Source organism: Homo sapiens, chromosome 9, assembly GCF_000001405.40.
Source record: "Homo sapiens chromosome 9, GRCh38.p14 Primary Assembly".
In the NCBI taxonomy this organism is placed as follows: Eukaryota; Metazoa; Chordata; class Mammalia; order Primates; family Hominidae; genus Homo; species Homo sapiens.
Genome location: NC_000009.12, coordinates 86,947,848 through 86,971,958, shown reverse-complemented (window position 1 = coordinate 86,971,958; position 24,111 = coordinate 86,947,848). Strand labels below are relative to the sequence as shown.

Here is a 24,111-nt window from a genome sequence, read left to right as displayed (position 1 = left end):
AGAGAACAAGATGGAGAGCTAAAGCCAGAGAAAGAAAGGGAGGAAGAGAATGTTAAGGAAACTATGACACATAAGGGATAAAAAGAAGGAACATCTGCAGGACAATTAGCAAATTCCTTCACAAACAGAACATTTAAATCTTTAAACTTTTCAACACCAACTAGGCTACATTGCTTTCAAAATACTGTTTACTGTTATTTTCTATTCTAAATTCAGGAACTTCTTTACAGAGGAACATGCGGAGAGAGAGAGGAGAACCACCTTCTTATGGAACTACCATTTTAAATCTCAATCTATCATGAATGTTCGGTATTTTGTTTCCACCGAGAGGGGAAAATAGCTTTAAATATAACTTCCAGGCCTGCTAGATATTCAATTTTGCCCACGCTTTAAATCCAATTAATGTGATATCCAAAGGCACCACTTTTTAACAAACCAAACAGATGGTGTATTTCACCTCCTTCGGTTACTAAGGAAAGTTAAGGGATGAATTGGATTTTTCATCTGGCACACGTAAAAAGGAACTTCAAATGGTTGTGTCTCATATCTAGCTGGGAGAATGGTGAACCGGCAAACAATTAGCTTACAAGATTGAATGGGTTTCAAGAAGAAAATGCAGGTGAGATCGGTTTTTATACTTAAAAATTTAAGAATAAAAGTATACTTTAAGTATAAAAGAATAAAAGAGGTAAGCTAAGGAAATGAAGCTTGCCTCCTATCAGAGTAAATAAATGAAAACAAATAGAAAGCCCCACAAGCCTTCCCTACTGGGCTAATGCAGTGCAAGAAGGGTCCCCATCCCTAAGGCAACAGGACAAGCAGGTAGTAGCTCAGACAACAGCATCTGGAATGGCCATGGCTTTATCCGTCACTCCTCCTTAACTCCTTGTCACCCATCCCTCCTCCCCTCCTCTTCTCTTTCTCCTCCACCCCTTTCTTCTTTTCATGTTATCAGAGAATACTCTGATAGTAAGTTAGGGTTACTACACCTCCACTGATCCCACAACTGGAATTTAACAACCTCATTCCCTCTGAGGCTAACATAGGAGGCAGTTTGACAGGAAAGCAAGAGTCTAGGAGTATCAAGGAAGAGCGGTAAAAGATGCTTGTTATTCCAAACTCTGATGTTCACCTCTAAGAGGCATTAGATGATTTCACTTAGTGAAAATGATCAATTTCTTGGCATCCCTCAAAATACCATGATTTATAACATCAATAAGAATTTGCATACATGTCCTTTAGTAAGTAAAAATATGCACAACTCTTCAGTCACCACAGGCCATTTGTGATGAACCTAGCCAGTAGCTTATTTGCTCACAGGAAGTATCAGTTACATCATGAAAAATCACAAAAGGCTGCTCTCATAGCTCCCATCTTCTGTGTCTTCCTCATCATTCCTAGGGAATTGGTTATCAGTGTGTGGACCTCACAGGTCTCATAGGTCAATGCCTGATGCTATAGAAAAGGTCTTAATCGGCCGGGTGCGGTGGCTCATGCCTGTAATCCCAGCACTTTGGGAGGCTGAGGCAGGCAGATCACGAGGTCAGGAGATTGAGACCATCCTGGCTAACACAGTGAAACCCCATCTCTACTAAAAATACAAAAAAATTAGCTGGGCGTGGTGGCAGGCACCTGTAGTCCCAGCTACTTGGGAGGCTGAGGCAGGAGAATGGTGTGAACCTGGGAGGCGGAGCTTGCAGTGAGCTGAGATGGCCCCACTGTGCTCCAGCCTGGGTGACAGAGCCAGACTCTGTCTCAAAAAAAAAAAAAAAAGGTCTTAATCACTCACTTAGCTCAACACCAGACTGCCTATATCAAGGGCAGGAGGAAACATGGCTCACCTGCTCTTCTGATCCCAACTTTTCCTGCCAAATGAATCAGTTGAAATAATAATAACAATAATTTATTTGGATGGAATTTTTGGTGCTCTGTGAGAATATGTACGAGCAGGCGATTTGATGGCACCCCCGTATAACAAGCCTTGACATTAACACTGATCAAACAAGAACATTAATAAATGTTTTTGTCTCCTAATATCTCTTATTAAGTGCAGGCAATAAATCAATTGTGCTGATTACATTCCACTGACCTGAAAAGAACGCTCTTCAGATCGTCTCATCTTTTTAGATGCTGGCTGTGTAACAATCAATAACTATTCACCTACAAACTTGTGTTGTGCATAGTAGGTACCCACTGAATGTTTGTTGAACTAAAAGAAAGACCCCTAAACTATATCTTACCAAAATCTCTTAAAGGCAATTCATAGGCATCTGAAACATTCCTAAGTGCGACAAAAACTAGCGTAATTATATTTATCAGGATCCACCTAAGAAGGCAGAAACCACTGTGGGTACATCAAAGAGAGAGAATTAAATTCCTTACATAGATAATAGATGCTAGGAAGCTGAACCAGGCACAGCGGTGTAACCCAGAGATCTGCATGAGCAGGGAGCTGCCACGTCTCCAAGGCTAGAAGGACAGAGAGAAAGATCATAGTTACCTGAGCCCAAGGGTCAGGTCACAGGAACCAGTGAGAACTATGGCAGCCAAGTGGGTAATGGAGGTGTGGAGTCGGGGGATGCTGCTTGAGGCAAAGAGGGACAGGAAAAACATCCTGGATTCTCCCTTCTTTCTTTCTCCTTTGTCCCTCACCAGTGCCTCCCCTCAGCCAAACCCTGCTGAAAAACAGCTTACAAGGAAGCCTGAGAAAGTCAGCCAGCAGGGTAAAGCTCTCAGTGATACAGAAGAGGGGAGAGAAGGGGAAGGACAGGGACTGGATCTGGAGCCGATGGCACAATGGTGGAGTGTCAGCTTAGGTAACATTAACACTAACTGGCTAAATACATTCAGAAAAGAGAGAGGCACTGTTGTCCCTGACACATTATAATGTAGGTGCTCAAAACAGCTTATGTCACATATACATTTAGCTATGCACACAAATATCAGAATGACTCAAAGAAGTCACCAAGAAGCTCATACACAAAATGGAGAATAGGAACATTTGAAATGACATAAAATAATTTTAGACACATTTCTCTCCAGCGTTGCCTAAACAATCAAAAGGGATCACTCTGCACATGTGTAGTGTTGAAATTGGCATCCTGAATCCAAGGCAGCTAACTACTTAATCTTCTTTCTCTTTAGGAAAGCAAAGGTTGGCAGCCTTGGGAAGCTGGCTGCCCACGGAATGCACATTTCCCACCAATCTATTTCGCCCAGGCTTTTTACCAGTTCTTGGAGCCTACGGTGTCTGGCTTGTGGCTAGACCACAATTCTGACAGGAATTGTGAGTGGGGGCCACGCCAGGCTGACTTCACCGTGATGATATCAGAGCTGAGGCGGGGTTGCCAGTCTCGACATGCTGATGTCAAAGCCAGCCCACTCCTCCAACCTGCTTGGTTTGTTGGCTAAAATAATTGGCCAACATTAAACCAGAGACTAAAGACCAAATGATTGTTTGAGGCCCCAGCAGACCTGTTTCCCAGCAGCTGCTCAAAGTAAGCACTTGATAGCACATCATGTACAATGAGGCAAGTGAGGCAAGATGTTGGAGTCAGAGAGATCTAGCTCCATATCCCAGTTGCTTGCTAGCACTATGGCTCTGGGCATCTCAAGCCATGCATCTGCAAATAGGTAGAATGATGTTAGGATTAAGGGCATGGTGCACATATAAACCTAGTACACTCTAGCATAGAGTAGGTATTCAGCCCACCACATCTCCTGAAAATATGAATGCTCAATAAAAATTAATCATCAATGGCCGGGTGCGGTGGCTTATGCCTGTAATCCCAGCACTTTGGGAGGCCGAGGAAGGTGGATCACGAGGTCAGGAGATCGAGACCATCCTGGTTAACGTGGTGAAACCCCGTCTCCACTGAAAATACAAAAAATTAGCCGGGCGTGGTGGCGGGCGCCTGTAGTCCCAGCTACTCGGGAAGCTGAGGCAGGAGAATGGCACGAACTCGGGAGGCGGAGCTTGCAGTGAGCCAAGATCATGCCACTGCACTCCAGCCTGGGTGACAGAGCGAGACTCCGTCTCAAAAAAAAAAAAAAATTAATCATCAATAATAATGATAATCCTTGGCTGGGTGTGGTGGTTCACCTCTGTAATCCCAGCACTTTGGGAGGCTGAGGCAGGCAGATCACAAGGTCAGGAGTTCGAGACCAGCCTGGCCAACATAGTGAAACCTTGTCTCTACTAAAAATACAAAAATTAGCTGGGTGTGGTGGTGTGCGCCAGTAATCCCAGCTACTGGGGAGGCTGAGGCAGGAGAATTGCTTGAACCCAGGAGGTGAAGGTTGCAGTGAGCCGAGATCATGCCACTGCACTCCAGCCTGGATGACAGAGCAAGACTCTGTCTCAAAATAAATAAATAAATAAATAAATAAATAAATAAAATCCATGAAGGAGATAGTTTTGCAAGGTGCAATATTGGGCTAATCACTAAAATAAAATTGCAATGTAAATGGCAAAATCAGTTGCCCAAATGTATTAGTCTGTTCTTACCCTGCTATAAAGAAATACCTGAGACCAGGTAATTTATAAAGAAAAGAAGTGTAATTGGCTCATGGTTCCACAGACTGTACAGGAACGTGGTGTCGGCATCTGCTCGGCTTCTGGGCAGGCCTCCAGAAAACTTACAAACATGGTGGAAGGCAAAGTGGCAGAGAGCACTTCAAACGGCCAGAGCAGGAGGAAGGGGGAGCAGGAAGGTGCCTCACACTTTTAAACAACCAGATCTCTCGTAAGAACTCGCCCACTATACAGTACCAGGATGGGTGGTGCTAAACCATTCATGAGAACAACGCCCCCATGATGCAGTCACCTCCCACCAGACCCTACCTCCAGCATTAGGGATTAAAATTGGACATGAAATTTGAACTGGGAGACAGATTTAAACCATAGCACCATGTGTGTTTAATAAATATGTCCTTCTCTTGCTTGAGACACAGAGTTCCCCAGGTTGTTTATTTGGCAACTGACCCTCCCAACCAGGCTTCCCGCGCTCTCAGATGATAATCCTGATTCATAAAGTCAACAGCCCCTAGAAAGGAACTTTCTACCCTGGGTCAATACATAGGAAATCATTAGTAACACCGTTACCCCCCTGATTTCACTGTTAACTGAGAAAAAACAGTCCTAAATACGTTTCACTTTGAATATGAAGACTCTGCTTTACTGGCTATATATGACATTGAAGCATTAATATTTGCTGTAGTAAAAATGCAGAGACTAGGCTGAGCACCGCGACTCAAGCCTGTAATCCAAGCACTTTGGGAGGCTGAGGCAGGTGGATCACCTGAGGTCAGGAGTTCGAGACCAGGCTGGCCAACATGGTGAAACTCCGTCTCTACTAAAAATACAAAAATTAGCCAGGTGTGGTGGCACACACCTGTAATCCCAGCTACTCAGGAGGTTGAGGCAGGAGAATTGCTTGAGCCCAGGAGGCAGAGGTTGCAGTGAGTTGAAATTGTGCCACTGCACTCCAGCCTGGAAGACAGAGCAAGACTCTGACTCAAAAAAAAAAGAATTCCGAGACTACAAACCTCAAAAGAGATTACTATTTCCTAAGGCAGCACTCTCAAACAATTACATCTAAACCTTGCTTGCTGTTCCCTTTCTTCTTTAGCTTCCCTGCCCTCCTATTTTTTCCTTCTTGCCCTATATAGCTGTACCATTAAATTAGACACATGAAATTATTTGTAGCAAGTATCCAACAGGCTGTCTAAAAAATGTGAGTCATATCCAAGTAATTATTTTAAGGATTTTGTTATTTCAAAATTTGAGAAATCTGCACATGAGAAGAGTCCAAAAGCTAGGCAACTGCTTTTCTTTCAAGGGGTATGTTGACATATTCAGCAAATAATTTCCAAAACACCATGATATGTTTGAAGTTGTTTTTCTCTCTAGACAATTGTGTCACTAGAAAATCACATTTGTACTGTATATTTTCTTAGATTGGCTTGCCAGGTGACTGGAAATAAAAGGCAGGTTCTTAAAAATTACCTCCTCTGAGGCCTATCTCCCCCAGTCGAGGGGGTTCAGTGCATTCCAACTGTACATTTTTTGCTTTAACGCCCTGTGTGGCCTTGCTCAGTTTAGATTTGAACCCAGTTCAAGAAAGCACAAGTCCAGGAAAAGATTATGCAAGACTTCCGTGTTTACGCTGCACTGTACATTCTTAGCAATACTAGCCATGTCATCCATAAACTTCAATCTAAATCTTATAAGATTACCAATCAACTTCTCGGCAAATATGACAAATTTCAAGACAAGAATGGAGAAAATTGTTGAAAAACAATGTTTTCCAAGAAGTTTATAGACGATAATGAACACGAGTGCATTTATGAAACCAGTGAAGCAAACGTTTGTGGAGTGTCTCCTTTAGGCCTCACACTGTTGCTACGTGCTCAGAGAAACACACAAGTGAGTGAGACCTAACTCTAATACTTATATTAATATACTTGAATATTTAATACTCTAATACTGTAATACTGTACTCATAGATATAATACAATATGATTCCACTTAGTGGTATAAAAGAACAGCCATTTTACTATGCTTACAGATTGTCTGGATAAGTACACTGGACATAGGAAATCAGATGGGAGTGATCTGTTTCTACTCTACAACATCTGAGGTCTAAGCTCAAAAGACCTGAACAGCTACAGGTGAACTGACCAACTGACCAATTGCAGGGGGATGGAATCATCTGGGTGATTCTTTCTACACATCTGACATTTGGCCTGGGAGGATTTGAAGGCAGGACTCAGTTGGAACTGCAGATTGGAGCACCTACTTATTGCCTCTCCATGTAGTTTGAGGATCCCCCCACCATGGCAGCCTCAAAGTACTTGTACTTCTTACATGGCAGCTCTGAACTCCAAGGGCAAGGGTTCCTGTGAGCAAGGCAGAAGCTAGATCACCTTGTGTACCTAGCCTTGGAAGCACTACTTCTGTTGTATTCTACTGATCAAAGCAGTCGCAAGACTGCTCAGAGTTAGGGGTGGGAGGAACATAGACCTTACTCTCCACGGAAGCAGTGTTAAAGAATGTGTAGCGATGTTTAAAATGGCCACAGACGGCTCTTATTAATACCTGCATTCTACAGATAAGAAAACCGAGGCATGGAGATGCAAAGTAACTTGTGCAGGATTACTTATTAAGCAGGAAGTAGAGCCAAGTTACAAACCCAGCCCACCTGGCTCAAGAGCCCATGTTCTTTCCTAGTGGCTACGCTGCCTCTTAATTCAGTCTTGCCATTTATTCAACAAATGTTTATGAAGGTTTATGTGCCGGTCTCTGTTCAAGGCTCAGGGGCTCTAGCACTAAACAAACTATATAAATGCCCTTCTCTTAGCATTTTACATTCTGTTTGTGGGTGACAGATAATAGAAAAGTAAGTATATAATATACCAAGTGATAAGGGCTAATTAAAAAACTAAGCAGAACAAGGCAGGTAGAGAGTCACAACTAGTTACTTGATTAATGTTATTCCATGTAGGGAGGTCATGAAAGGCCTCTGTGAAGATGACACAGTGACATTATTGGAATAATAATAATAGTCCATCATGTGGATTTCTGGAAGGATTGTATTTAAGGCAAGGAATACCACCTCCAAACCTTGATGGAGAGGGAAGGACGGAGGAAGTTTAGATCCACCAACAGCAGAGTGAATGGCAGGAACAAACGACCAGATTTGGGAGCCGGCTGGCCAAATATAAGTGACAACACAGCCATCTGAAGGTCTCCAGCAGATTGCTTGTGGGCCAGTGAGAAGAGATGAGGTCAGAGAGGTGCTGGGGGATGGGATCGTGTAGGACCCTGTGGGCCACTGTAAGAACTTTGGCTTTGACTTGGAATGAATTGGGGGAACTATTAAAGGGATCTGAGCAGAGAAGTGACATGATCTGAATAGTTTATGAAGAACAAGGGTAGAAGCAGGGACAAGTTAGGAAGCTGTTGTCATAGGTTAGGCCAAGGATAATGTTGGTTGGGCCAAAATGGTCAAGTTGGAGGCAATGAAAAATAGAAAGATTGTTGATTGATTTTGAAAGTATAGCTGCAGGATTTGGTTATGGGACTATGGAAGAAATGGGAGTTCAAGAATCACTTCAGAGCCTTGTCGTGAGTTGTAACTTGCTGAGATGGGGAAGAGGCTGGGGGAGAAGTAGGTTTGAGGAAAATGGAAACTCCAGCTTGTGCTTTTGATGTGCTCCATTGACAGTGACTATTGGACTTCTGAGTGGAGATGTTGAGGAGGCAGAAAAACAAATCTGAAACTAAGGGGAGCAGCCTCCTTGAATGAAACCTTGGAGTCATCCTCCCTTCCTTCTATTACAGTGGGTAGCTAGTTAGGCATGAGCAGGGCAGCAGAGGGCTCCCCCAACCAGGAGTGTCAGGTCACCATCAGGAGATGGTCAGGCAGTTGTTACAGTTTCTCTAAAATAATAATTGGTCGCAGCAAGAACCAGAGAAAGGCAGTCTCCCAACAGAAAAAAAAAACCCTTAAACTGGTGATCAGCAGCTTCCTGATAAGATCTCAGGAGCTGTGGGAGTGAGCTCAAGCATATGCATTAAGAAGAGGCAAAATGGTGGAGTTTAACTGGCATATGACCTTCTAAGAACATTCGAATGGTAAGGGAAGAACGCCTCAAGTGAGCATACGTACAACTCCAGTAGACACACTAGGCATGTGGCCCCTCCCAAGTGCCTGCAGTAGACACACTGCACATGTGCACAGCCCACCCCAAGGGAAGAATCAGGGGAGAATCGGGGGAGAAGGGGTACAACCCTTCAGAAGCATGCCAACGTTTAAAATCCCGAGTCAAAGTTCAAACAGTACACTTGATCTCTCAAGTTGCCCACTTGGCCCTCTTCCAAATGTACTCTACTTCCTTTCGTTCCTGCTCTGCAGCTTTTTAATAAAGTTTAACTCCTGCTCTAAAACTTGCCTCAGTCTCTCACTCTGCTCTACGTCCCTCGGTCTAATTATTTCTTCCGAGGAGGCAAGAATTGAGGTTGCTGCAGACCCGTTTGGATTTGCCTCCGCTAACTTACTTTGGTGTCACGTGATACAGAAACATTCCGCTGCTAACACTTCCTTTATTTATTATTTCCACTCAGTTACTAAACACTGTCATTTCTTGCGTTGAAAACAATCTTTCTTGCCTGCCCTTCTTTTTATATTCACTGCTCCCTCCTTATACATAAGCACTCTTTTCACCCTGGTTCATGGCCATCTCATCTTAATTAGTACTGCTGCCTCTCTTCCCTCCAATCAGTCCTAACAGGCTCATCTTCAAATGCTGCTCTGTTGTCACTCATCTGCCCAGAAACTTCCACAACCATCCAAGTTTCCTTAGCAAGAGTCCTCAGACTCCAGTGTGCAGAAGAAATCACTGTAGATGGTACCATGTGGGATTCGGCAGGCTCTGCTACCAGAGTCTTCTGCAGGTCCAGTAGATGTCCTGGAATCTGCATTTATGAAATAACCCAGGGAAGTTCTATTCAGGCTCAAGATAGGTCATTGTGGTGGTAGAGGTATCTTCTTGCTTCAGGTTAGCTGGTGAGGCTGTGAAGGACAGGGACTGTCTCACATTCACCTAGAGCAGCACAGCACCAGGACACGGCAGATGGGCAGTAAAGAGTCATATACACAGAACTGCATGAGTTTCTATCCAAGAGCTACTAGGTGTGTGCTCATAGATATCAGACAAATAAAGCATCTCATCTGTGGTTAGATTTAATTTAGCCAATATGTGTATCATGCTAGAAACTCAACTCTTCAGTTAATAATTTTATGCTCTGAACTTCCTTTTACAGGTTAAGAAATTTGAGTCTTAATGAGTTTAATTCCTATAAGGCTGAGATTCAAACCCTGGCTGCTCCTAGCATCTGTGCTGATAACCCACCACCTCCCCTGGGGAAGTCCCCAGTGAGTAACTCTCTCATTTCTATTAAAAATCCTGGAAAAAGTTGCTTTTACTTACTTTTTCCACTGTCTCCTCGTGTTCTCTTCCCAATTCACTATAATCAGATTTTATCTCATCATTTTACTTGTCAAGGTCACTAATGATCAAAATCTTGCTCTACCCAATGCAATGGTCACTTCTCAGTCTTCAGCTTATGTGACCTTTCCACAGCATTGGACATGACCAATCACCCCCTTCTTTCCAAAGTGCTTTGTGATATTTTCAATCTTAGTCTTTCTCTTATCTCCATATATATATACTCATTTGGTTGTTCAAAAACCATCTCGAACTTATCCTGCGCCAAGAGCACTTTTAATTTCCCACCCCCAAAATCGGGTTAGATTTGAACCAGAGAAGTCAGAATATGGCATCTAGCACTCAAAAGCAATGGGAAAGAGAAGAGGTTCAGCCCACCAACATTGCGCTTTGCCATTGATGAGGTATTGTACAAGCTGGTTAGGCATCAATGGCACCCTGAACCTTTTTCTCTATGTAGTAGCTCCATGACTCACTCCACAAAGCTCAAGTTCTCATTAAGCTTGTTACATTATGCCTAAGAAGCTTCCCTACACATGAGATAGACATTTTATTCACAATCATCATTTTAAAACTGATGCCATGGCCAGAGAAAAGGTGGGCATTGAGGAGAGAGCAGAATCGAAAGGGACCAGCTAGGTGACCCCAGAGCCTAATCTTGCCCTATTATCTGCTGACACAAATGTAATATGAGGCATATCCAGCATCAATCTCACGGTTGTAGCAACTGAAATAGAGACCGGTTCCTGAGAAATAGAACTAGACCACAGACAGGCAGTGGGGCGTCTCTCTCCTTCCTTCAGGGAAGCATATGGTTACCGGTTGCTTCACGTTTAACTGCTGTGGACCACTGGGTCTTCCTCAGCTGTTTCTCTCTGCTCCTCTCTCCAGTTAAGCTTGCTCTGTTTGCACATGGCCTCCCCTGTCAGCCAGCTCCCAATCTATGCCACATTTCAAGCCAATCTCCATGTCTCTTGGTTCAAATCCCAAAGAGAGGAATCAGATTGGTTGCTAGACAATGGGTTGGCTGACCTTGAGTCAGATGCCAAACCTGTGGCCATTAAAACCTGAGCTGTGTTTTTCAAACATGAACATCTGGGCTTATGAGATCTATGAGTCTGGGCATTTCTCACTGAAAGGAAATATTTTATAGTAAATTCCAATGGTATGGATTATGTAATGACAAATAGCAAAGCAAGATCATGTTTTCCTGATAAATTCTTCTTGAGAGTAAAGTTTACTTATAATGATCAGCGAAAATTACAGAAGTAGGAATCAAATGTACTGTAAAGGAAGCACTGAAGTTAAAAAAGGAGAAAGACTGATTTGAAAAGGACAGGTGGAAATGAAGAGGGAAAGAACATAATTCACTAAGTGCAATGTCCCCCTGAGTATGTGTATACACGTGAGACTGTAGATCAGCAGCGAAGGGATGAACCCATTTTTGGAGAAACAAAAATGCCAAGGGGGAAAAAATAGCAAAATATGGGTTGGATGATAGCCAATTTCTCAGTTCCAGACATCTGGAGACAAGACACGGAAAGGTGAGGAGCTGCCCTTGCTGCAGTTCTTGACTCCGTGTGACTGGTTACTGGGGATATTTACATTAAATTAATGTGGCTGGCTATGGCTGTGTTCAGCACTTGGATAAGCGGTTAAATAATCAGTGTGGTTTGGCTGCTGGTTTCTTTACTGTGGTTAAATAATTGGTGTTGTCTTGGTTGCTAGCTACTTTAAAAATGTATATGTGCACTTGTTTCTCTCTCTTTTTTCCTCCCTCTTGAGCAATTTTGACAAGCCCTTGGCAGAGAAGTGGCTGATCAGCTTTTAAAGGGAGGCTTTTCTTCCACCTTGTTTATGCTTCCCCCAGATGTTTCTCAAAGATTTGAGAATGGCATAGACTTTTCCTCCAGGACCTAGAAGGTCCTAGGAAGGAATTCACTTCACTTCTTTTGTTTGTGGAATAGAGATAAGACTAAGCCTGAGGGCATCTGCCGTTTTCCAGAAATTCCAGAAACGGACTCCGCTTTTGTAATGATAGGTCACTCAGTTCTCAGATTTACCATGAAAATGGGGAAAGAAAATTATGAGAGCCATTGGATAAAATGAACTACGAGGAGGCATTTCCTCCTGTTAGTTATTGCTAGACCTGTAGAACAGAGACCAGCTTCTGACACAAACTGGTGTGCAATTTTTTTTTTTTTTTTCTGAGACAGTGTCTCGCTCTGTTGCCCAGATGGGAGTGCAGTGGCGCGATCTCGGCTCACTGCAAGCTCCTCCTCCCGCGTTCACGCCATTCTCCTGCCTCAGCCTCCTGAGTAGCTGGGACTACAAGCGCCTGCCACGGAACCCGGCTTTTTTTTTGGATTTTTAGTACAGACGGGGTTTCACTGTGTTAGCCAGGATGGTCTCGATATCCGGACCTCATGATTCGCCTGCCTCCGCCTCCCAAAGTGCTGGGATTACAGGCTTGAGCCACCGCGCCCGGCTGGTGTGCAATATTTGTTCGATGAATAAAGAATAACAACAGCAAAAATGCATAATTCAAGATTGACATAACGTCTGTTCCAGAAAGTTGGTTCATTTGGTCACTTTGTTAATGTGTTTAATAATTGTTAAACTACCACAAACTGCTCTGCCCTGGGACCATAGGAAACCTTCTTGCTTCCATATGGCTCTGTCTCTTTCCTTCCTTCCAAACCAAGGGTCAAGAGTGGATTTGAGGGTACAAGAAAGGGCAATTAACCCTCTTAGAGCAGCAAACTGGCTGTGACAGTGAGGCAGTAGACAGCTTAGGTCCAGAGACAAGCCTCTACCTGACAAACACAACAAATGCAAAGGAAAGCAAAGTCTTCACTGGCTGCTCAGAAACCACAAGATTCTCAGGGTTCCATAGTGTATGGAAACTCAATGCTCCGAGTTTGGTCAGATACAGAATGGAAACAGGTGTTTCAGAGCAGGAAGTTAGGGAGGAAAGAGCGAAGCTTTGTTTCTCAAATATGTCCCATCAATAATAGGATAATTTCATCTCAAACAGAAGTCCAGATATTTTATGTCAGTCATTCAGTGATTATCTAGATAAAAAATGTTGATTTTTTTTTCTAGTATGTCTCTAGTGAGAGGGAAGGGATTTCCTAAAATTTTAAATGAAATCTGGGAGGATTCTTCAGAATTAACTGATTTTGCCATTTTAGTAAGAAAACTTATTCCTTTTCATAAAAAGTAATAATTTTTTGACAATTACTGATCAAGTGGAGGAAAATGCAAACCTTTAACCAAGCCTGTTGGCACTGTGCTATATAGTACAGGGAGGTGGGGGATGACAGAGGACAGGGGCTTGGGAGAGCACTTTCTGGGTGCCCTCACTTATGAGTTGGATGATGTTGGATCACCTAACCTCCTTGCAGTTAAATGTATTCAGTCTTTACTTTATTAACTTCCTGAGGACTTAAATAATAATGTATGACTTACATATAATAAGATAAATTAAAATTAAAGCTACAATGGCATAAATTTTCACTTATCAGATTGGCAAAGATCCAAAAGCTTAATAATAACATGTAATGTTGGTGATGATATTAGGAAACACTCTCATACACTGGCACAACTTCTACAGGGAATAATGGACCTATCAGAGATACATAGATAGAACAATTGATCTAGCACAGTTTAAAATGAACCTCCTCTTTGACTCAGTAATTCCACTTCTACGAATGTAAACTATGGCTGCATTAAAATATTTATGAGATGACAAAAGTGCAAGAATATTCATTGCCACACTGGAATAACAAAGAATTTGAATTTAAATATTCAACAATAAGGGACTAAGGGACTGCTTAAATAATTTATGGAACACTCAAAAGCAGAACGCTACATACTCATCAAAAAGGATAAGCAAGGAATACATCAGCTTTTTACAAAGTGACATGGAACAGTGCCCAAAATATACTGTTAAGTAAAAAAACAAGGCAAAGATTGTTGTTTTTAAAAAGATTCTTATATATGTGTATACATGTAATATCTCTGGAAATGCATGCCAGAAATTGATAACAGTGGCTAAAGGAAGTGGCAGTCTTGGTGCAAAGGTTAAGTGGAAGCTTGCTAAAATTATACAATAAAAAAAAATTCTTTTGCATTTTGTACTATATATGTGTAAAGGATTTTGATAATTAAATGTATGTCTATGAGTGAAACAAAGATATGTTACATAAGGTCACCTATCACAAACTTCACTAATCAAGAGAAAACAGACCAGAATGCTTGGCCCAGGGCAGGTAATCAAGAAATATTTCCGGATGGATAACTGAATTATAAGAAGTACTATTTCAACATAAATAGTTAATCATTTGAGGAGATGTGTACCACAGAGAGACCAACTTTTGAATTCAAATGGCATGCAAAATCTCACTTAATTTTTTAAATAATGGGCAAAAAAGAAATACTAGATCCAGAAGCTTTAAGAAGTGAAGCTGTAAACGAAAAAATTTGATTTAAGATCCCTTCTAGGTTAATACAGAATGCTTCCAGGGAATTTAGGGAGATGAAACTCTGTATGATATTCTAATAGTGAATACATGACATTATACATTTGTCAAAATGCATAGAATGAACAACACTAAGAAGGAACTAATGTAAATCGAAGACTTTAGTTAATAATAAAATACCAGTATTGGTTCATCAGTTGTAACGAGTGTGCCACAGTAATATAACACAGAATGTAAATAATAGAGGAAACAGGTGGGGGGAGTAGGAATTGTGCGGGAACCCTCTGTACTTTCCAATCAATTTTTCTAAAATTGCCTTAAAACTAAAAGTGCTTTTTAAAAAAAGTCTAGTAATAAAGAAAGAAAAGAGGAACAGAGATGGAAGACTTGAAGAAAACATTATTTGCCTTCCTAGAACATACAGTGGGAACTCAATAAACATCTGTTGGATTCAACTGAATCAAATTCAGTGAGAAATGAGCAGGTAAGTGTGCATATAAATTTAAAATTTAGGAAAAGTGTGAACTCATCAATGAGGTGTTTGATGAAGTCCTAGGATATATATTTCATTAAAACGAATTAGATGGCTTGTAATCTTTATCAATAAGATTACAGATTTTTCCCAAGACATTTATGACAATTACAGATTTTCAGCAGTAAATATGTAAGCAATTGTAGTACTTTTCTCAAATTGTCTAGAGAAGCATTAACCTGAAACTTACAAATTTTGTACAAGCTTGTTGCTAGATTTTTTTTTTCCTGTGGATAGGTTTTTTTGGGATGTCTATTGTCTTTATATAAATCCTCACAAGATAAAAAGCAGACTTTTGAGGCATTTGATAAGTTCACTTACAAACTATGTTATTTTTATTTAGAAAACAATTTATCTAGATTTATGAAAGAGTTAAATTATTTAAAAGTTTCTTTTTTTTTTTTTTTTTTTGAGACAGAGTTTTGCTCTATTACCAGGCTGGATGGAGTGCAGTGGTTTCATCTTAGCTCACTGCAACTTCAGACTCCCTGGTTCAAGTGCTTCTCTTGCCTCAGCCTCCTGAGTAGCTGGGATTACAGGCATGCACCACTACGCCCAGCTAATTTTTGTACTTTTAGTAGAGATGGGGTTTCACCATGTTGGCCAGGATGGTCTTGATCTCCTGACCTCGTGATCTGCCTGCCTCGGCCACCCAAAGTGCTGGGATTACATGCATGAGCCACAGCACCCAGCCAAAAGTTTCTTCTTAATTTCAGTAGTGAGAAGCTAGATTTGGAAATAAGGCCTAGCACGACTTTGAAACATACTAACTACGCATATTGTAGAATCGGCCCCAATTATTGGAGAATTTAGTAGGTAATGCCCAAATGTGCCCAAGGTACTCTCTTGGGGGAAAAAATGCTCTTGGTAGAAATATCGTTGTACTGCTAACTGGCTAACTGCAATCCACTGAGGTTGAAGCATGTTGTGCCTCAAATGTTCTATGTTGTATCTTGCCAATGGGTTTAAGTCTCTATTTCATTAATATCTCTTTTCAAAAAGTATGAAAGTCGAGTTTCCTGATAATTGGAGCTCCTACTAATTTTGTGGGTATTTCCTCATGTTATTAGATATTGAAACTGAGCCAGGATCTTGATCTCCCCAGTTCCAAAGCAATGATGAGGGGGTGTGTTTTCTGCTCCATAGAGAACAGTAGGCTGATGATGTTAAACAGCTGCTCTGTCTCTGTTGATACACTCATCAGTGAAAGCGGGATCGTGTTGTCATTTTGCATCTTGGAGTTGTTATCCATGTTCTCTGAAGAATTAGAAGTTTGTTCCTTCCATTTTTATTAATCTTTACACAGCGCCAAATCCTTATGTTCCTGTGCCAGACAACTTATTTACCTCTAAAACCAAAGAAAATAACCAGTATCCATTTCTTTTTTGTATTTTAATGTATATATTTCACAGTGCTTCTCAAATTGTCTGTTCTGAAACTGCAGAATTTTTTTGTCTATCATAGATAGTTTGTAAAACAAAATTTTTGAAGTTACTAGAAAAAAGAATACCTACAAAACAGAAGCCTCAAATTTTATTATTAGCTTCAACTGACATCATATTACTCTATGAGATAGCTATAAAAGTATTCAAATGCCTGCTCTAATGAGCTGAGTGGTCCATCTCATCAGGGACCACTACAAAGCACTGGATCACATTTGTGGAGCCCTGGTGTAGCGGCTGATTTTTCTCATCATGACAGCGTTGGTTTTCCTTCAGGAAGTGCTCTCTCTCTTTTTCTCTCTCTCTCTCTCTTTCTCTCTCTCTCTTTCTCATCTCTTTCACTAAGGTACATGGGCACATGGCCCAGATCAATTGAGGTTCCAAAACTTTTGCTAGAACTTTTGGAGGAAAAAAGTAATTATTTCTATTGGAATGGCTAGAATGCAGATAGTGTCCTTCCTTATCAGTATTTATTATTATTGGAAAGATTCTCAGGAATGGGTTGGGCCAAACAGTATTTGTATTTTACATTTTAAAGGTATTGCCAAAAAAGAATCCAACATTTCACATTTACACAAGCAACTTTTGAAGGTATCTTTATAAGAACTGGCTGTCAAAGTGCTTTCACATTTTAGTCGGTCTATGGAGTGTTAAAGTAATATCTCATTGTTTTCTAATTTCTTTTCATCTAACTACTAGTTAATTTAAACATTTTTTCACTTGTTTGCTGACAATTTGGATTTATGCTTCTGTGAATTGTCTGTTTCTATCTTTCACCCATTTTCCCTTGGTTTGTCCTTTTCCTGTTTTTTTTTGTTTTGTTTTGTTTTGTTTTGTTTTGTTTTGTTTTGTTTTGAGACTGAGTCTTGCTCTATCGCCCAGGCTGAGGTGTGGCAAAATCTCAGCTCACTGCAACCTCCACCTCCCGGGTTCAAGCAATCCTCCTGCTTCAGCCTCCCGAGTAGCTGGGATTACAGGCACCTGCCACCAAGCCTGGCTAATTTTCGTATTTTTTCTTTTTTTTAGTAAAGATGGGGTTTCGCCATGTTGGCCAGGCTGGTCTCGAACTCCTGACCTCAAGTGATCCGTCTGCCTCAGCCTCCCAAAGTGGTGGGATTACAGGCGTGAGTCACCGTGCCTGGCCCTTTTGCTGTAAATTTCTAAGAGCTCTTTGTTTACTAGAAAAATTTGTCTTTTTCATCCACTATCTTAGTTTGGGCTGCTATAACAGAATATCATAGACTGGGTGGCTTAAGCAACAAACATGGATTTCTCAGCGTTGACTACAGTTACAAAGAGTATGTGCACATAGAAAGGGGGCGGTGAGACTTTACATGTATTATCCAGGAGTAGAGCGTCAAAAGGGAGACTTTCTCTTGTAATCCCTTAAAGCTGGGGGACAGAAGCATTTCTCTGCTAAAGAGGCCAACATACCAAAGTCCCCGGAGAAGGGCAGGATGGAGATGCCATGGTGGATACTCAGAAGAGAAATTCCAGTTTGTGTGTATGTGTGTGCACGAATGAGTATGCGTGAGTGCATGCATGGGTATATGTTGTGCCTGTGTGTGCCTGCATGAGTGTGCACGTGTACATCCATATATGTATGTGAGTACATGCATCATATGTATGTGTATGTGAGTGCATGTGTGTGTGCACATATACGTTTGTGTTTGGGGGCACAGGCAAGAATAGATGGGGTTAAGTATTTGGAATGGGTCTTTCGAACTGCGTTTTTTTTTTTGTTTTTTTTTTTGAGACAGGGTCTTGCTCTGTCATCCAGGCTGGAGTGCAGTGGTGATCATAGCTCACTGTAGCCTTAACCTCCTGGGCTCAAGTGATCCTCCCTCCCCAGCCTCCTGAGTAGCTAGAATTATAGGCACGCATCACCATGTCTGGCTAATTTTTGTCCTCCCTCCACAGCCTCCTGAGTAGCTAGAATTATAGGCACGCATCACCATGTCTGGCTAATTTTTGTGGGTGTTCTTTGGTAGAGATGGGGTCTCGCGATGTTGCCTAGGCTGGCCTCAAACTCCTGGCTCTAGTGATCTTCTTGCCTAGGCCTCTCAAAGTTCTGGAATTACAGGAATGAGCCACTGCACCAGACCTCAAACTGCTGTAACACTGGTAGTGACCTTGGACTTTTTCCTGAGGAGTCACTATAAATTTTTAAGTGGAGTAGTGATTTCATCCGACTCATTTAACATCAGCATGGAGGATTGCTTTAGAGTAGTTATTCCAAAATGCTGTCTGAAGATGCAAAAGTTTCTGAAGAAGTTTCCCCTGTGTCGTAAATTCAGTTAAAATGAAAAAAAAAAAAATAGGACAATATAGTAAGTCCTTTAAATATCTAAATGTATTCAACTCGCCTGTATTCTCTGGTTATTCTTTCTCTGCCTTTGGGGTTTCAAATCCTCTTTATTTAATAAGACACTGGTGTTAACAGATGGTAGTAGTAGGTTTGTTTGTTTGTTAATGCTTGATAAAATAAAAAGTTGGCATCTTTTTTTAAAAGATATTCCAGATTTTTTTTGAAAATAAACGGATCTTTGAAATCTCAAAATCTAGCAACCACTGATGTTGAGTGGTTGAGGCAGAAATATGCCATTGTGTGTGTGTTTGTTTTTTTCCATAGTACACATTCCTTGGCCCCTGGGGAAGAATTCAAGTGTAATGAAGTTGGCACAGGCATATGTATTTTGAAAAAGCTCCCGAGTCCTTTAGAGATGCTTCTCTGGTTTACAATCCCTGGTTTGGAGGAGAGTTGGGAAAGACCTGGTATTCAGCAATGAAGAAAACCTTGAAGAAACCAGGACATGAGAAGACAGGGAGGGTGAATGTGAACAACATTTTTCTTAGATGGAATTAATAGGGCTCAAAGATGCGAAGATGGTCCTTGCCGAAGATATAAGCAAAGCTGGGGTTCAGGAGGAGGCTCCAGATCATTAGCTGGGAGAATGACCCTGCTTTACTGTGCATGAAAGGGATTTCCTTCTACATGAGGTTCCCATCCTTCTATCTTGTTCCCAAGAATTAATTCTTCTTAAGAAGGCAACAGACAAAGGGAAGACTTTTGTGAAGAATGAGGTAAACCTTCAGGATACAAAGTCTAATGTAGAATTCTAGAGTAGATGGTGCTTGGTTTCCATGCAGTATCTGCCACAAACTGAAGTATTAATATTTTCTGGTTTTAAGAATGCAAGTAAATAAAGAAAACAAGAGAGTGAATGTGATATGGTTTGGCTCTGTGTCCCCACCTAAATCTCATGTTGAATTATAATCTCCAGTGTTGGAGGAGGGACCTGGTGGGAGGTGATTGGATCATGGGGAAGGGATGGAGGGAGTTCCCCCATACTGTTCTTGTGAGAGTGAGTTCTCAAAAGATCTGGCTGTTTGAAAATGTGTAGCACCCCTCTCCTTTGCTCTCTCTCTCCTGCCAGCCATGTGAAGAAGTGCTTGCTTCCACTTGCCTTCAGCCATGATTGTAAGCTTCCTGAGGCCTCCCCAGAGGCAGAAGCCTATAAAGCCTTCTGAACCATGAGCAGATTAAACCTATTTTTTAAATAAATTACCCAGTCTTTATAGTAGTGTGAGAACACACTAATACAGGGTGTCTGTGACTTAAGACTTCTGCTAAGTGGTTAGAGCCTCTGACAACTCCAAATGGCCAAGTGACATATTGTTGAGTCCTCTGAGGGCAGAAGTCTATCTCCTCCTACTTTATCTGGGTTATGTTGCTAAAGCACCAAAAGGTAATTGGTATTTGTTGATTGAGGTTTTTGTTCTTTCACTGAACCAGTCAACCCTTTTGGAAATATAATTTTATATTTTAAAACTTCAGAACTATTCTGTATTCTTTAATCTCTCAGGGTCTTTATTACTGTTCTTTGTAGTAGAAATGATTTGGACTAGTTCTGAGTTGGCTGATTTAGAAGACAAGAAGTGCTGATTCTTCATTCATTCAACTTATCAAATATTTTATTGACACCTATGATGAGCCATTAATTGAATGTAGAATGTGAAGAAAAGGAAAGAATTCAGGCAGATACTAGCATCTTTCACCTAAGCAATTGGACAGGAAGAAAAGTTCTAATGCTCTATTGTTGCATAACAAACCATCTCAAAACTGAGTGGCTTAAAAGAATATTTTTTTGTTATTTCTCAGGATTCTTTGGGTTGACTGAGCTAAGCTCTGCTCTTCTTGCTTGAGGCAAGACCAGAACTAGAGAAAGGTGAGTGTAGTGTCTAAAGTACAAAATTTAAGGAGGCACTCACTCTTGGAGTCTTGGAGCCCAATTATGAAGGTCAATGCCTCCTTACATTTTGCACCAAAATGCCTCACTTGCTTCACGCTGATCTTGACCCTGGCTTGGGGTCTCTCTCATGTGTCTTCAGTAGGATGGCAGCTAGAGCTGGAGTCACCTGAAGGTTCAGCTGGGCTGGACATCCAAGTTAGTGTCTCCACTCACAAGTCTGGTGCCTTCTTCACTCACATGGCTGAAACAGCAGGGAGCTGGCCAGGCATCTCTTTCCTTCTCCATGTATCCTCTACACATAGTAAGCATGGGCTTCCTCACAGCATGCGAGTCTGAAGGTGGTCCAGATGTCTTACGTGGTGACTGGCTTCTGCAGAGCAAGTATTCCAAGAGGCCTGATAAGGTTTGGCTCTGTGTTCCCACCCAAATCTCATCTTGTAGCTCCCATAATTCCCACATATTGTGGGAGGGACCCAGTGGGAGATGACTGAATCATGGGGGTGTATCTTTCCCATGCTGTTTTCATGACAGTGAATGGGTCTCATGAGATATGATGGTTTTAAAAACAGGAGTTTCTCTGCACAAGCCCTCTCGTTGCCTGCTGCCATCCATGTAAGATGTGATTTGCTCCTCCTTGCCTTCCACCATAATTGTGAGGCCTCCCCAGCCATGTGGAACCCTAAGTCCAGTAAACCTCTTTCTTTTGTAAATTGCCCAATCTTGGGTATATCTTTATCAGCAGTGTGAAAACGGACTAATACAAGGCCCGAGTAGAAGCTGCAAGGCTTCTTGTGATCTAGCCTTGGAGGCCCCAGAATGTCAGTCACTTTCACTATGTCCTATTGGTCAAAGTCAGTAAGGCCTACCCAAGACTCAAGGGGAAGGGGATTATACTCTGCCTTTTGATCTGAGTAGTAAGGATGTAAAGGTAGGGAGAAAAGTGATGGAGACCAATTTTGGAGGGTATCTACCACAGTAAGCCCAGTAAACAAATAGGTTTTGGGGATGGAAATTTAGAAGTGCTCTTGGGGAAGCTTAAGTTTGAGATGTCCTTGGAACCAAGTGAATATATACATATGGAGATCAGAGAAAGACTGAGATTGAAAACATCAAATTAGGAGATGCAATTTAAAATCAAGGCACTAGATGTGGTTACCTAAGGAGTTGAGAGACAGAAGGAGCCACCAGGCAGTAAAATGAGAGAACAGGGGAGTATGGAGTTTCGGAAGCCAAAATTTTAGAAAGCGCTTTGAAAAGGAGGTGATCAGTCATGGCCAATGCTGCTGAAACGTCATATAAGCTGAGGACTGAGAAGTGACAATCAGGTAGAGCAAGGTTTTGGTCACTAGCGACTCTACATAATCGAATGGAACTCGATTATGTAGAGTGAATCGAGTGGGGAAAGTGAGTAAAAGCAAGATTTTCAAGTTTTCATGAAAATGGGATAGTGACTGAATAGGGACGTGGAGTCTAGAAGGTTTTACTATTATGTTTTTTTAAGATAGAAGACAGTATAGCCTATTGTGGTGAATGGAAATGACACAGTAAAAAGTGGGCTGAGAACCCCTCAGGCTTGCAATGCTAATGCTATGTGACTGGGATGCAGAAGTCCCCAAAGCATGCAGAGCTCTTGGGCCTCCCTTAAACCCCACTGAGAGCTGTATCAAGGCCAAGGTGGGGCAAGTGTTACCAAAAACACAGCAACAACACAGAAAAGAAACATGTTAACTTTGAGAGCAGTGATTCTCAAAGTTTGAGAGCAGCATTCCCTGAGAACTTGTTAGAAATGCATATTCTTGGGACCCACCAGTCCAACTAAATCAGAAACTCCAAAAACTAGGGATCTGAGTTTTAGGATACGTGCTAAGGTTTGGGTCCCACTATTCTAAAGGAACTCAACAAAAATTCAAGTAAAGATGAAACCGAGTGCTGACTTTGTTCCTTATGGGCCTAAAATAACAAAGCTTTAAAGACAAGAGGGGATTTTTCAATTGTCTAATTGGCTTCGAACCTTACCTGTGGAGGGATCCCAGACACAGAGAAGGTGTCTGAGTTGTCCAAGTCCTCCAGGCCGGACTGAGAGGACAACTCCAAATAATAGAGAAAAAAAAAGAGACAGAGAGCCAGGGATATGGTTGTTTTGATGTGCCATGAAGTTGCAGCCTTTCTGGATTTTTTTAGTATCGATTTATATTGCTGTTTGTCTACCAATACTCAAATCAGAGCAAGACGGTCCGCCTTACCTCAGTCTGGCTCTTTTAAGGTTTGATTTTGGTTTTGGGGACTGCAGAGGTGCAGCTTCCCACGGCAGACCAAGCGCCTCTGAGGAACGCAGCAGCTTCAGCAGGTACAGGAAGATTTCCCGCAGCCGGAGGAATCTCCTAGTGCTGGGCCTCCGGCTGTGACTTTTGCCATTTCAAATTCACTTGGCCTCTAGGGAGAGGCAGACAGCCCGACGCTGAGCGCGTCGGAGCCCCGGCTCCCTCTGCTTCTGGAGAGGAGATTTAGCCTTAATTTTTGTGACAGATGGAGTTGATAGTCTCTCCACGGAAAGGGGAGGAAAAAAGCGCCAGTTTTTGACAGGCCGCAGACGCCCGCTGCCTCTGGTGGCGGAAGGCTGCGTTGCGCCCCAGTTAAGGTAGCTCGGAAACTCCCTCGCCGAGAAGGCAGAGGTTTCCTCTGCAGAGCAGCCTCCCTTAAATATACTGAGGGGCTGAAACTTACACTTTAATATAAACCTTTGGTGCGTGCCCATTTATTCCGTCTTCTGTCCTGTGACTGCGGCCAGGTGGTAATTGCTCGACATTCCTGAATATTTTTAATGCTAGTTAAATTTTTTCATTATTGCACGTGTTGCAAGCTTATCTTCCTAAGAAATTATTTCGGTTGATTGGATTTCGGTCTTGCAATTTGAAAACGATGCCTGGCGCACGGGCGGTACCTGCCAGATGGCCTAGCTGGGGCTGGGGGGTGGCGGGCGGGTTGTAAGCATCTCATCAACATCTCCCTAATAAAGTGTGTGCTTCTTTCTTGTATGCTTCTTTAAAACAGTTTCAGTCTCACATTTTATCTCTGGATTCTCCCCTTCCCCTCTGTGGTGATCAAGACCCAAAGACAGGGAGCCTGGAAGATAAACTGAGTTCTGAATCCAGTCGAAAGCACAGATGGGGGCCAGCGAGAATTAATAAAACTACAAAAAAAAAAAAAAAGAAAAAAAAAACAAACAAAAAAGGCCCGTGGCTGAGCCGGATGCAAACAGCTGCCCCTAAGCCCTGCCCGCTGGTTCTGTGCGCGAGCTGGGGCTGCATATCCGAGCCTCCTTAAGAGTAGGAGGAGCTCCGGGCCTCCGTCAGGCTCCCTAAGCCGTTCCTTTCAAGCCCTGAATGCCT

The 24,111-nt window shown here is 42.0% G+C and overlaps 1 long non-coding RNA gene across 1 annotated transcript in view, besides 1 other annotated feature; it reads right to left on the bottom strand.

Annotated features, from left to right (window-relative positions):
* Window positions 1–23,261, bottom strand: part of GAS1RR (GAS1 adjacent regulatory RNA) — a 53,336-nt gene extending 30,075 nt beyond the window's left edge. The window contains exons 1-2 of the long non-coding RNA NR_049794.1: window positions 22,966–23,261; window positions 20,960–21,092 (exon numbers count right to left, since the gene is read on the bottom strand). This is a non-coding gene — a long non-coding RNA (GAS1 adjacent regulatory RNA). The remainder of the gene's footprint in view (window positions 1–20,959; window positions 21,093–22,965) is intronic.
* Window positions 1,861–2,030: an enhancer, noted in NCBI's record as "experimental_108378 CRE fragment used in MPRA reporter constructs". NCBI's record gives its function as "activates a minimal promoter by MPRAs in K562 erythroleukemia cells, with activity observed for both the introgressed and non-introgressed 9:89584929 variant alleles {active_cell/tissue: K562}" and the evidence as "EXISTENCE:reporter gene assay evidence [ECO:0000049][PMID:34662402]".